We start from the raw sequence: 13,995 nt of genomic DNA, 5'->3' as shown, positions 1-13,995 counted from the left end.
TGTTCCTTTCCATGTTCAGTGCTTCCTTCAGGAGCTCTTTTAGGGCAGGCCTGGTGGTGACCAAATCTCTCAGCATTTGCTTATCTGTAAAGGATTTTATTTCTCCTTCACTCATGAAGCTTAGTTTGGCTGGATATGAAATTCTGGGTTGAAAATTCTTGTCTTTAAGAATGTTGAATATTGGCCCCCACTCTCTTCTGGCTTGTAGAGTTTCTGCCGAGAGATCCGCTGTTAGTCTGATGGGCTTCCCTTTGTGGGTAACCCGACCTTTCTCTCTGGCTGCCCTTAACATTTTTTCCTTCATTTCAACTTTGGTGAATCTGAGAATTACGTGTCTTGGAGTTGCTCTTCTCGACGAGTATCTTTGTGGCGTTCTCTGTATTTCCTGAATTTGAATGTTGGCCTGCCTTGCTAGATTGGGGAAGTTCTCCTGGATAATATCCTGCAGAGTGTTTTCCAACTTGGTTCCATTCTCCCTGTCACTTTCAGGTACACCAATGAGACGTAGATTTGGTCTTTTCACATAGTCCTATATTTCTTGGAGGCTTTGTTCGTTTCTTTTAATTCTTTTTTCTCTAAACTTCTCTTCTCACTTCATTTCATTCATTTCATCTTCCATCACTGATACCCTTTCTTCCAGTTGATCGAATCGGCTACTGAGGCTTGTGCATTCGTCACGTAGTTCTCATGCTGTGGTTTTCAGCTCCATGAGGTCCTTTAAGGACTTCTCTGCATTGGTTATTCTAGTTAGCCATTTGTCTCGTTTTTTTCCAAGGTTTTTAACTTCTTTGCCATGGGTTCGAACTTCCTCCTTTAGCTCGGAGTAGTTTGATCGTCTGAAGCCTTCTTCTCTCAACTCGTCAAAGTCACTCTCCGTCCAGCTTTGTTCCGTTGCTGGTGAGGAGCTGTGTTCCTTTGGAGGAGGAGAGGCACTCTGATTTTTAGAGTTTCCAGTTTTTCTGCTCTGTTTTTTCTCCATCTTTGTGGTTTTATCTACCTTTGGGTCTTTGATGATAGTGACGTACAGATGGGGTTTTGGAGTGGATATCCTTTCTGTTAGTTTTCCTTCTAACAGTCAGGACCCTCAGTTGCAGGTCTGCTGGAGTTTGCTGGAGGTCCACTCCACACCCTGTTTCCCTGAGTATCAGCAGTGGAGGCTGCAGAACAGCGGATACCGGTGAGCAGGAAATGTTGCTGCCTGATTGTTCCTCTGGAAGTTTTGTCTCAGAGGAGTACCCGGCCATGTGAGGTGTTAGTCTGCCCCTACTAGGGGGTGCCTCCCAGTTAAGCTACTCGGGGGGGTCAGGGACCCACTTGAGGAGGCAGTCTTTCTGTTCTCAGACCTCCAGCTGCGTGCTGGGAGAACCACTACTCTCTTCGAAGCTGCAGACATTTAAGTCTACAGAGGATTCTGCTGCCTTTTGCTTGGTTATTCCCTGCCTCCAGAGGTGGAGTCTACAGAGGCAGGCAGGCCTCCTTGAACTGTGGTGGGCTCCATCCAGTTCCAGCTTCCCTGTGGCTTTGTTTACCTACTCAAGCCTTGGCAATGGTGGGCGCCCCTCCCCCAGCCTCGCTGCTGCCTTGCAGTTTGATCTCAGACTGCTGTGCTAGCAATGAGCGAGGCTCCGCAGGTGTAGGACCCTCCGAGCCAGGCGTGGGATACAATCTCCTGGTGTGCCATCTGCTAAGACCATTGGAAAAGCGCAGTATTAGGGTGGGAGTGACCCAATTTTCCAGGTGCCATCTGTCATCCCTTTCTCCATCTAGGAAAGGGAATTCCCTGACCCCTTGCGCTTCCTGGGTGAGGTGATGCCTCGCCCTGCTTCGGCTCACGCTGGGTGCACTGTACCCACTGTCCTGCACCAACTTTCCGACACTCCCCAGTGAGATGAACCCAGTACCTTAGTTGGAAATGCAGAAATCACTCGTCTTCTACGTCGCTCAAGCTGGGAGCTCTAGACTGGAGCTGTTCCCATTCAGCCATCTTGGCTCCACCAATCCATCTTACTTTTCGATGCATTTCAAAGTTGCAGATGACAGTACACATCATCCCATTATATCTCAGCATGAACATCAATAACAAGAATTCAATGTATATTTCTATTAATATGTATTTACTTTTTTCAGTAGGTTTTATATACAATAAAAGACACACCATTTGATAAGTTTTAACATATACATATAGCACTGAACTCAAACTCCAAACAAGAAATAAAATACTTCCTATCACCCAGCAAGTTCCTCTAAGACTTTTCGCAATTAATCCCCACCCCACTATCGAAGACAGCACTGCTTTTTCTTCCATTATGTATCAATTTTGCCTGTTCTAGAACTCGATGTAAATGGAATACAGAATGTACTCTTTTGTGTAAGGTTTCTTTCACCTACCATGTATTTGAAATTCATTATGTTGTTGATGTACCAAGACAGTGTTCCTTATCATTGCTAAGTTGTATTCCATTTATGACTATACCTATTTGTTGATCCAGTCTCCAACTGGTGGGTATATGAGCTGTGTCCAGTTTCGGCCTATTATAAACACTTTTGAACAAATCTTGTAGATGTGTTTTCTTTTTCTATTAAGTAAATAACTAGGAGTAGAATTGCTAAGTCATGGGTTAGGGTAGAAAAACTCTTAATTTTATAAGAGTTCTCATTGCTCTACATATATGGTAGTATTACTCTTTAAGCTAATGGGACAAGTAAAGCAGCACCTCCTTGCAGTTTACTTTTGTATTTCCTTAATAATTGACGATGTTTAGTAACATTTTCATGTGTTCACTGGCCATTCAATATAGCATCATTTATGAAGTGTGTGTACTAATCCTTCTCCAATTAATCAAGTTGTATTTTCATTGTTCAGTTGTAGAATTTCTTTACATAGTCTTAATACAAGTCCTTTACAGATACAGGTTTTGCTATTATTTTCTTCATGTCTCTTAATGAGCAGAAGTTTTTTATTTTGAAGAAGTTTATAGAGTGTTAGGTGTTTTCTTTAAAACAGTTGCTGCTTTCTGTATCCTATCAAGGAAACCTTTGCCTGTTCTTTGTTTATTCTAAAAGCTTTATACTTTAGCTTCAACATATAGATCTATGATTCATCTTGATTTATCTTTTGGGTACCATGTGAGGTAGGGAGTCAAGGTGAACTTTCATCCATACAGATGTCTAGTTGTTCCAGCACTTTTTATTTAAAAGCCTTTCTTTTCCCTCATTGGATAGCTGTCTTTGTTAAAAATAATTTATCAGTTATCTGTTCTGCTCCATTTATATGCTTTTATATCCTTATGCTGATATCACAGTCTTCATTACTGTATTATTAGAGTAAATCTTGAAATAAGGAAATTTAAGTTTTCCACCTTGTAAATCATCAGGATTGCTTTGTATAACATAGGTCCTTTCTATCTTCATATAAACGTTATAATCAGCTTGTCAATTTCTACCAAAAGAGAAAAGTCCTGCTAAGAAAATGATTTGAACCACATTAAATTCATAGATCGACTAGGGATAACTGTGCTGTTTAACTTCCAAATATTCAGATTTTTCCTGAATATCTTATTGCTATTGGTTTCTACTTTAAATTCTACTGTAGTTACAGAGTATACTCTTTAGGATTTCAAACTTTTGAAATGTAGTGAGACATGTTTTAGGACCCATATATTATTTATCTCGGTATGCATATCATGTGTACTTGAATAGAATGTACACTCTATTTTAGTTGCCCATGATATTCTACAAATGTCAGTTAGGTCAAGGTGGCTGAAGTATTTTTACAGATCTTCTATATTCTAACTGATTTTTTGTCTAGGTTTTCTATAAGTTACAGAGTAGTGTTAAAATTTCCACCTATGACTGTAGATCTTATTAGGTATATACAAATTTATGATTACTATGTATTTCTAATGAGTTTTATCACTATGAAATGCCCTTCTTTATCTCCAGTACTGTCTTGAAGTCTACTTATCTAATATTAATATAACAACTCCATCTTATACTTACTGTTTGCATGCTACACCTTTCCTCATACATTTACTTTCAATCTATCTGTGTCATTATTTTTAAAATGCATCTCTGGTAGACAGAATACAGGAAGTCTTGTTTTCTATCCAATGTATGAATCTCTACCTTCAAATAAAACACTTAATCTATTTTCAATTAAGGTAATTATTCATAGACCTGACCTAGGTTTGTAAGTTTGCTATTTGTTTTCTTTACATCCTGATATGGTTTGGCTGTGTCTCCACCCAAATCTCATCTTGAATTGTAGTTCCCATAATCCTCACACGTCGTGGAAGGGACCTGGTGGGAGGTAACTGCATCATGGAGCAGTTACCCTCATGCTATTCTCGTGATAATGAGTGAGTTCTAAGGAGATCTGATGGTTTTATAAGGGGCTTTCCCCCAACTTTGCTCTCATTCTGTTCCTTGCTGCCACCCTGTGAAGGACATGTTTGCTTCCCCTTCCTCCATGATTGTAAGTTTCCTGAGGCCTCCCCAGCCATGCTGAACTGGGTCAATTAAACCTCTTTCCTTCATAAATTACCCAGTTTCGAGTATGTCTTTATTAGCAGTATGAGAACAGACTGACACACATCTCATTTGTTTTATATTCTGCTGTTCCTTCCTTTATACCTTTTTTCATTTTCTCTAAATACATTTCAGAATTCCATTTTGACTTCTCTTGTTTTTTAGTTATCACCTCTTTGCATTTTTTTCTTTTCCAGTGTTTGTTCTAGGAATTATAATGTATATCTTTAACTTTGCAGTGTACTTAAAGCTAATTCTACCCCTTCATAAAATAAAGACCACAGTAAGCACACAGCTCCATCAACCTAGACTCATCCTTTATACACAGCAGTCATATATAAATGCCATATTGTAACATTATAATTTCTGCTTTAAACAGTCACAACTGTATATTTCTTAATGGAGTGGGGAAGACTTACATTTTTACCAATTGCAGTGCTCTTCATTCCTGAAGTTCTGAGTTTCAGCTGGTAACACTTTCCTTCAGCTTGAAGTATCTCCTTAAACATTTCTTGTAGTATAAAGATTTTCTTAGCTAGAAAGTATGTTTTCTTATTTGGCTACAGAATTCTGAGTTGATTTTTATTTTCCCAGTACTTTAAAGGTGTTTATAGCCTGCTGGCCTGCATTATTTCTGATAAGAAGTCAGGTCTGTCAAAGATCAGATGGTTGTAGATATGTGGCATTATTTCTGAGGGCTCTGTTCTGTTCCACTGATCTATATCTCTGTTTTGGTACCAGTACCATGCAGTTTTGGTTACTGTAGCCTTGTAGTATAGTTTGAAGTCAGGTAGCGTGATGCCTCCGGCTTTGTTCTTTTGGCTTAGGATTGACTCGGCAATGCGGGCTCTTTTTTGGTTCCATATGAACTTTAAAGTAGTTTTTTCCAATTCTGTGAAGAGAGTCATTGGTAGCTTGATGGGGATGGCATTGAATCTATAAATTACCTTGGGCAGTATGGCCATTTTCACGACATTGATTCTTTCTACCCATGAGCACGGAATGTTCTTCCATTTGTTTGTATCCTCTTTTATTTCATTGAGCAGTGGTTTGTAGTTCTCCTTGAAGAGGTCCTTCACGTCCCTTGTAAGTTTGGATTCCTAGGTATTTTATTCTCTTTGAAGCAATTGTGAATGGGAGTTCACTCATGATTTGGCTCTCTGTTTGTCTGTTATTGGTCTAGAAGAATGCTTGTGATTTTTGCAAATTGATTTTGTATCCTGAGACTTTGCTGAAGTTGCTTATCAGCTTAAGGAGATTTTGGGCTGAGATGATGGTGTTTTCTAGATATGCAATCATGTCATCTGCAAACAGAGACAATTTGACTTCCTCTTTTCCTAATTGAATACCCTTTATTTCCTTCTCCTGCCTGACTGCCCTGGCCAGAACTTCCAACACTATGTTGAATAGGAGTGGTGAGAGAGGGCATCCCTGTCTTGTGCCAGTTTTCGGGAAAGGATTCCCTATTTAATAAATGGTGCTGGGAAAACTGGCTAGCCATATGTAGAAAGCTGAAACTGGATCCCTTCCTTACACCTTATACACAAATTAATTCAAGATGGATTAAAGACTTAAATGTTAGACCTAAAACCATAAAAACCCTAGAAGAAAACCTAGGCAATACCATTCAGGACATAGGCATGGGGAAGGACTTCATGTCTACAACACCAAAAGCAATGGCAACAAAAGCCAAAATTGACAAATGGGATCTAATTAAACTAAAGAGCTTCTGCACAGCACAAGAAACTACCATCAGAGTGAACAGGCAACCTACAAAATGGGAGAAAATTTTCGCAACCTACCTCATCTGACAAAGGGCTAATATCCAGAATCTACAATGAACTCAAACAAATTTACAAGAAAAAAACAAACAACCCCATCAAAAAGTGGGTGAAGGATATGAACAGACACTTCTCAAAAGAAGACATTTATGCAGCCAAAAAACACATGAAAAAATGCTCACCATCACTGGCCATCAGAGAAATGCAAATCAAAACCATAATGAGATACCATCTCACACCAGTTAGAATGGTGATCATTAAAAAGTCAGGAAACAACAGGTGCTGGAGAGGATGTGGAGAAACAGGAACACTTTTACACTGTTGGTGGGAGTGTAAACTAGTTCAACCATTGTGGAAGTCAGTGTGGCGATTCCTCAGGGATCTAGAACTAGAAATACCATTTGACCCAGCCATCCCATTACTGGGTATATACCCAAAGGACTATAAATCATGCTGCTATAAAGACACACGCACACCTATGTTTACTGCGGCACTATTCACAATAGCAAAGACTTGGAACCAACCCAAATGTCCAACAATGATAGACTGGATTAAGAAAATGTGGCACATATCCACCATGGAATACTATGCAGCCATAAAAAATGAAGAGTTCATGTCCTTTGTAGGGACATGGATCAAACTGGAAACCATCATTCTCAGCAAACTATCGCAAGGACAAAAAACCAAACACCGCATGTTCTCACTCATAGGTGGGAACTGAACAATGAGAACACTTGGACACAGGAAGGGGAACATCACACTCCGGGGACTGTTGTGGGATGGGGGAAGTGGGGAGGGATAGCATTAGGAGGTATACCTAATGTTAAATGATGAGTTAATGGGTGCAGCACACCAACATGGCACATGTATACATATGTAACAAACCCGCACATTGTGCACATGTACCCTAAAACTTAAAGTATAATAATAATATAAAAAAAAAAAGAAGTCAGCTACCATTCATTAGCATTTCTCAGGGTGCTTTCAAGATTTTTTTCTTTTTGTAGAGATGAAGTCTCACTTCGTTTCCCAGGCTGGTCTCAAACTCCTTAGCTCAAGCAATACCCCTCTTTGGCCTCCCCAAGTGTTGGCATTACAGGCATAAGCCACTGCAACTAGGCAGGATTTTTTGTCTATTATTTTCAACAGCTTCACTATAATGTACTTAAGTGTTATTTTATTGTATTTATCTTGTTTGGAATTCACTGAACTTCTTCAACATGTAAATTCATGTTTTTTACCAATTTAGGGAAATTTCCAGCCATAATTTCTCCAGAATTTTTTGACCCAATTTCCCCTGGCCTCTATTTCTAGGACTCCAAGTGTTAGACCTTTTGATATTGTCCTACCAGCCACTGAGGCTAGCTTCATTTTTTGAAATCTCTTTTTCACTTTTTAAGAAAGAATAACTTCTATGAATCCAACAACTTCAATGACTCCTTTTCTTTTCCTAATCTTCTGTAATCTCTAATCAGTTTTCATTTGAAATATTGTATTTTTTACCTATAGAATTTTCATTTAGTCCTTTTACCTAGTTTCCATTTTTCAGCTGAGGTTTCTTATCTGTTTATTCATGGTGTACATATTTTCTTTATATAACCTTAAGAAGAGTTATAACAGCTGCTAATTCTAACATAGGAGTCATATCAAGGCCAGTCTCAATTAATTGGCTTTTCACTTAAGTATGGGTCACATTTTTCTGTTTGTGTATGTGTGTGTCTACTGAATATGGATTGTATTCTGGACACTGTGCATAGTACATTTTTAGAAACTCTGGATTTGATTATGTTCTTCTGAAGACTATTTAGTTTTTTTTTGCTTAATAGGTAGGTAAGTTGGCTATACACCTCTGAACTCTTTCTTGTGCAAATGAAATATCTTTAGTTATTTTAGCCTAAGACTTTTATGCAGAATTTGGGACACCCTTCTTTATGAAAGACTACTTTATACTCACTAACTTTCTAGCTGCTAGAGTCACCCCTAACTCTGTCTTGTGGTTTTTATTCAAGCTTCCGTCACCTACACAACCAATGACCGAGTTCTGTCCTCTGGGAAACATCCACAAAAAATGAAATGCTCATCTTATACCATTCTATCTTCCAAATGTCAACATCCTTCAGTTTCTTCCTACTTTCTGTCCTCCTACTGTGCTTTCACATACTTTTTTTATATTTTGTCCAAAAGTTGTCATTGTTATTTTCAGGAAAGGTAGTCCGACATGTGCCCCTCTGTAATTATTAAAAGCACAACTCCAAAGAATTGTTTATAATACCAGAAGACTACAAAAGTGACATCCATAGTGACTTTTTTTTTTTTTTTTTTTTGAGATGGAGTCTCGTTCTGTCACCCAGGCTGGAGTGCAGCGGCGCGATCTCAGCTCACTGCGACCTCCACCTCCTGGGTTCACACCATTCTTCTGCCTCAGCCTCCCGAGTAGCTGGGACTACAGGCGCCCACCAACACGCCCGGCTAATTTTTTGTATTTTTAGTAGAGACGGGGTTTCACTGTGTTAGCCAGGATGGTCTCAAATCTCCTGACCTCGTGATCTGCCTGCCTCGGCCTCCCAAAGTGCTGGGATTACAGGCGTGAGCCACAGCGCTGGCCGACTTATTACTTTGTTTTTTGAGACAGAGTCTGTCGCCCAGGCTGGAGTGCAGTGGTGCAATCCCGGCTCACAGCAAGCTCTGCCTCCCGGGTTCACGCCATTCTCCTGCCTCAGCCTCCTGAGTAGCTGGGACTACAGGCGCCCGCCACCATGTCCGGCTAATTTTTTTTGGTATTCTTTAGAGACAGGGTTTCACTGTGTTAGCCAGAATGGTCTTGACCTCCTGACCTCGTGATCCGCCCACTTCAGCCTCCCAAAGTGCTGGGATTACAGGCGTGAGCCACTGTGCCTGGCCAACTTACTACTTTTTAACATTACACAGTTGTAACAATATTTCCTAAAGCAATCATTTTCTGTTATAGTCCTTCTTATATCAGAAAACAGAAGTATTTGGGAAATGAAAAGATGGAGAAGAAAGAGGGGAATGAAGGGAAATAAGATGACCCAGTGATACTGAAAGGGGAAGAAGGTTCATGCAAAGAAAAGGAACAATCTGACAAACTCCTTGTCCTGGCATCTTTTAAGCTAAAGTTCAGCTATACAAGAAGGGAGATGATGAAAAGATAAAATATAATTTCTGGCACAGATGCAACAATTGATATTGGTACCTACAGTTACTCACTTTCATAAAGAGAATAAAAGCCCGAAAATGCTATACTAAGATAATGAACAGATACAGTATATAATACATGAGTTATAATATAAAATAACAGTAAAAAAATACAGACTCCTCAATAAAATCTCCAACCTTTTCTTTTTACCATAAGAACACACTGGAATATAGACTTCAGTACAATGTTTCTATAATTAAATCTTTAAAATATAATCATACAAAAAGCTTGACTAAGAACTCCAGATTTCCCTTTACAAGCACTAAATTTTATCAGTTTTTATATAAGCATATATGAGAGGTTTCTAAAATGTATGATGATCAGAATTAAACTCTTTCAACTATAGGTAACTTATACGCAATCAGAGGATTCTGGGAAGATGGTGGAGTAGGAAGCACCACGCATGTGTTGCTCCACCTAGAAGATCATTGCACTGGCAGAATCTGTTCTATTTAACTATTTTGAAACTCTGGAATCTACTGAAGGCTTGTTAATGTCCAGGGGAAGGCCTGAATATAATTTTAATCACTTGCAGGTATTAGCACTAGCACAGTAGCAGCTATCCATTTGCCACCCTCAGCCCCAAGGCAGGCAGTTGTGCATGCATTCCAAGGAGCAGCTTGCGCGCAGCTTACAGGAACCAAGGACAGGCAAAAAGGACCCTCTCTTCCAAATATAGGGCATGTGTGCCCTGATCACTGAATGCTACTTCTGATCACAGAAATGGGACAAAGAGGTGGACACACATTGTTGCTTCATCTCCACTCACTGTTACAAGCCCTCTCCCACCCCCATCCCCACCCCCACCCACAAAGTAACTGCTGGGGATTTAAAGGATTTAGTTTTTCTCTTTTTCCCTTTTGGGAGTCAGATGTTAAAGACTACGGCATTTGAAAGCAACTGTATATAAGGGAAAAATTAGAAACTTCCTGCACATTCCTGGAGAAAAACTCAGGCTTAGAAAAGACTCAGAGAATCTTAAGCTTACACCTCAGGCTGATCCTTCACATACAGACAAGCCTCAAACAATAAAAATAAACAAAAACAGTAACATTAGAAAAAAAAAAAAAAAACAGCAGGCCGGGCATGGTAGCTCATGCCTATAATCTCAGCACTTTGGGAGGCTGAGGTGGGCAGATCACCTGAGGTCAGGAGTTTGAGACGAGCCTGGGCAACATGGCGAAACCCCATCTCTACTAAGAAGCACAAAAATTAGCTGGGCATGGTGGCACACACCTGTAATCCCAGCTACTTGGGAGGCTGAGGCAGGAGAATCGGCTGAACCCAGGAGGTAGAGGTTGCAGTGAGCCGAGATCACACCACTGCACTCCAGCCTGGGCAACAGAGTGAGACTCTGCCTCAAAACAAAACAAAACAAACAGCAAATGCTGGGGAAGAGGGAGAATCTAATTTCCAGACTTACCACATCATTATATTCAAATGCCCTGTTTTCAACAAAAAAATAACAAGATATACAGGAAAGTATGACACATTCAAAAGAAAAAAAAATAAAACAACACAACTGTCCTTGAAAAAGACCTGATGGCAGACCTTCCAGAGAAAGACTTTATGACAACTGTTTTAAAGTTGTTCAAAGTACTAGGGCGGGCACAGTGGCTCATGACTGTAATCCCAGCACTATGGAAGGCCAAGGCGGGAAGATCACCTGAGGTTGGCAGTTTGAGACCAGCCTGGCCAACATGGCAAAACCCCATCTCTACTAAAAATACAAAAATTAGCCGGGCATGGTGGCACACGCCTGTAATCTCAGCTACTAGGGAGGCTGAGGCATGAGAATCGCTTGAACCCGGGAGGCAGAGGTTGTAGTGAGTTGAGACTGTGCCACTGCACTCCAGCTCGGGTGACAGAGTGAGACTCTGTCTCAAAAAAAAAAAAAAAAAAAAAAACGAAATGAGAAAAGAGGCTGGGTGCGGTGGCTCACACCTGTAATCCCAGCATTTTGGGAGGCCAAGGTGGGTGGATCACCTGAGGTCAGGAGTTCGAGTCCAGCTGGGCCAACATTGTGGAACCCCATCTCTACTAAACATACAAAAATGAGCCAGGCGTGGTGGCACATGCCTGTAATCCCAGCCTCAGGAGGCTGAGGCAGGATAACTGCTTGAACCCAGGAGGCAGAGGTTGCAGTGAGCCAAGATCATGCCACTGCACTCCAGCCTGGGCGATAGAGACTCCATTAAAAAAAAAAAAGAAGAAAGAAAGAAGAAAGGAATTTAAACATTTCATGAAAAAAATCAAGTAAACACAAAAGAAGACAGTAATGCAGGAAATGAGGGCCCCCACAAAAAGCAGTAAGTTATGTAAACAACAAACAACAAAATGACAGAAATCCTTCTGTACAAATAATTTAAATTCAAATGGATTAAACTCTCCAATCAAAAGACAGAGATTGACAGAATGGAGGAGGATTCAACCATATGTTGCCTATACTAGACTTACTTTAGACTGACAGACACAGTTTGAAAATTAAAAGACAGAAAAAGATATTCCATGCAAATACTAACCAGAACAGAGTAGAGGTGGCTATACTAACAACAGAGAAAACAGTCTAAATCAAAAAAGGTTACAAGAGACAAAGGACATTATATATGAATACATGATTTGATACAACAAGAAGACAAAAATTATAAACATTTATGCACCAATTAAAAGACCTCAAAAATACATGAAGGAAAAACAGACAACTGAAGGGAGAAACAGACCTTTCTAAATAACAGATGATTAAATCAATACCCTACTTTCAATAGTGGATAGAATAACCAGATCGAAGATAAGTAAGGAAACAGAGGACCTCAGACAATAACCAACTAGATCTGACAGACATATACACAACACTGTACCCAACAATAGCATACATATTCTTCTCAAGTGAATATAGAACATTTTCCAGGATAGACCATATGTTAGGTCACAAATTAAGTAAAAAATGTGGTATAAACATACAATGGAATATTATTCAGCCTTTAAAAAGAAGGAAATTCTAGCCGGGCTCGGTGGCTCATGCCTGTAACCCCAGCACTTTGTGAGGCTGAGGTGGGCGGATCACTTGAGGTCAAGAGTTCAAGACCAGCCTGGCCAACATAGTGAAGCCCTGTCTCTAGTAAAAATACAAAAATTAGCTAGGCGTGGTGGCGTGCGCCTATAATCCCAGATACTAGGAGGCCAAGGCACAACAATCACTTGAACCCAGGAGGCGGAGGTTGCAGTGAGTCAAGATCGCACCACTGCACTCCAGCCTGGCCAACAGAGTGAGACTCCATCTCAAAAAATAAAAATAAAAAATTCTAACAACATGGATTAACCTTAAGGATATTATGCTAAGTGAAATAAACCAGTCACAGAAAAACAAATACTGTATGATTCTATTCATATGAGGTAATTACAGTAGTCAAAATCATACACAAAGTAGAATGGTGGTTGCCAGGAGCTAGGGAAAGACAGAAGGAGGAGTTACTGTTTAATGAGTACAGAATTTCAATTTTACAAGATGAAAAGAGTTCTGGAGATAGAAGGTGGTGATGGTAGTTACACAACATTATGAAGATACTCAATACCACTGAATTGCACATTTTAAAATGGTCAAAATAGTAAATTTTATGTTATGTGTATTTTAAAATGTAAAACATTGGGAAAAAAGATGAAAACAATGGGCAGTTCTTAGGCATTAACAATTAGTACACATCTAGTCATATCATTTTATTCTAACTCACTATTAAAACCGATTAAAAGCAAAACTGATTTTCAAAAATTTATATAAATAAGTAAAAATACAGAAAATTATACATATGCACATTAAATTTAGAAATGTTTTTAAAGGTTTGTCAGATCACTTTCTGCAAGATTATAATACACTCCCATGTAGTACAAAATTTTGTTTATTCCTGTTTTTTTAAACTTTTCCGTAATTCCATCTTCTATGAGTTACTGAATCATTTTTTCTACCCTTACTGATAAGAATACAAACAAAATATCTGTTTCATAAAAATGAATCCGTATTTCAAATTTGAAAGCCACATTTACTTTTCCTTTAAAACTACATGAACTACTTTCAGATCTCTTATCTGTGCCAGCCAGCTTGTTGTTTACCTTCTCACAAATGTGCCTGAGTCTCACTCACATTACTTTACATTGATTATGTCTATTAGCCTGTATTTGCATAGGAGTCACTACATAAAGTATATAAGAATGACATAACAAAGTTCACCTAAATCCAATTTCCTTCACACTTCCTGAAAAATTAGGTTATGAGAATTCACTGCTATGTCTCTGCTGCCCTCTGTAGGTATGGTGTCTTAGTCCACTTTGCTTTGCTTTAACAGAATACCACAAGATAGGTAACTTACAAAGAAAAGAAGTTTATTTCTCATAGTTATGGAGGCTGAAAATTCCAATATCAAGGTGCTGGCTCCTGGTGAGGACCTTTGTCCTACACCTTCCCATGGCAGAAAGCAG

At 39.4% G+C, this 13,995-nt stretch overlaps 1 protein-coding gene across 53 annotated transcripts in view; it reads right to left on the bottom strand.

Moving 5' to 3' along the window:
• The window catches only part of SPIDR (scaffold protein involved in DNA repair), a 475,429-nt gene that overhangs the window by 417,341 nt on the left and 44,093 nt on the right, over window positions 1–13,995 (bottom strand). The gene's annotated exons all lie outside the window — the stretch shown is intronic.

The sequence above is a fragment of the Homo sapiens genome, chromosome 8, assembly GCF_000001405.40.
Source record: "Homo sapiens chromosome 8, GRCh38.p14 Primary Assembly".
Classification (NCBI taxonomy): Eukaryota; Metazoa; Chordata; class Mammalia; order Primates; family Hominidae; genus Homo; species Homo sapiens.
The sequence above is the reverse complement of the archived record's forward strand: the minus strand, read 5'-3'. Positions and strand labels throughout refer to the sequence as shown.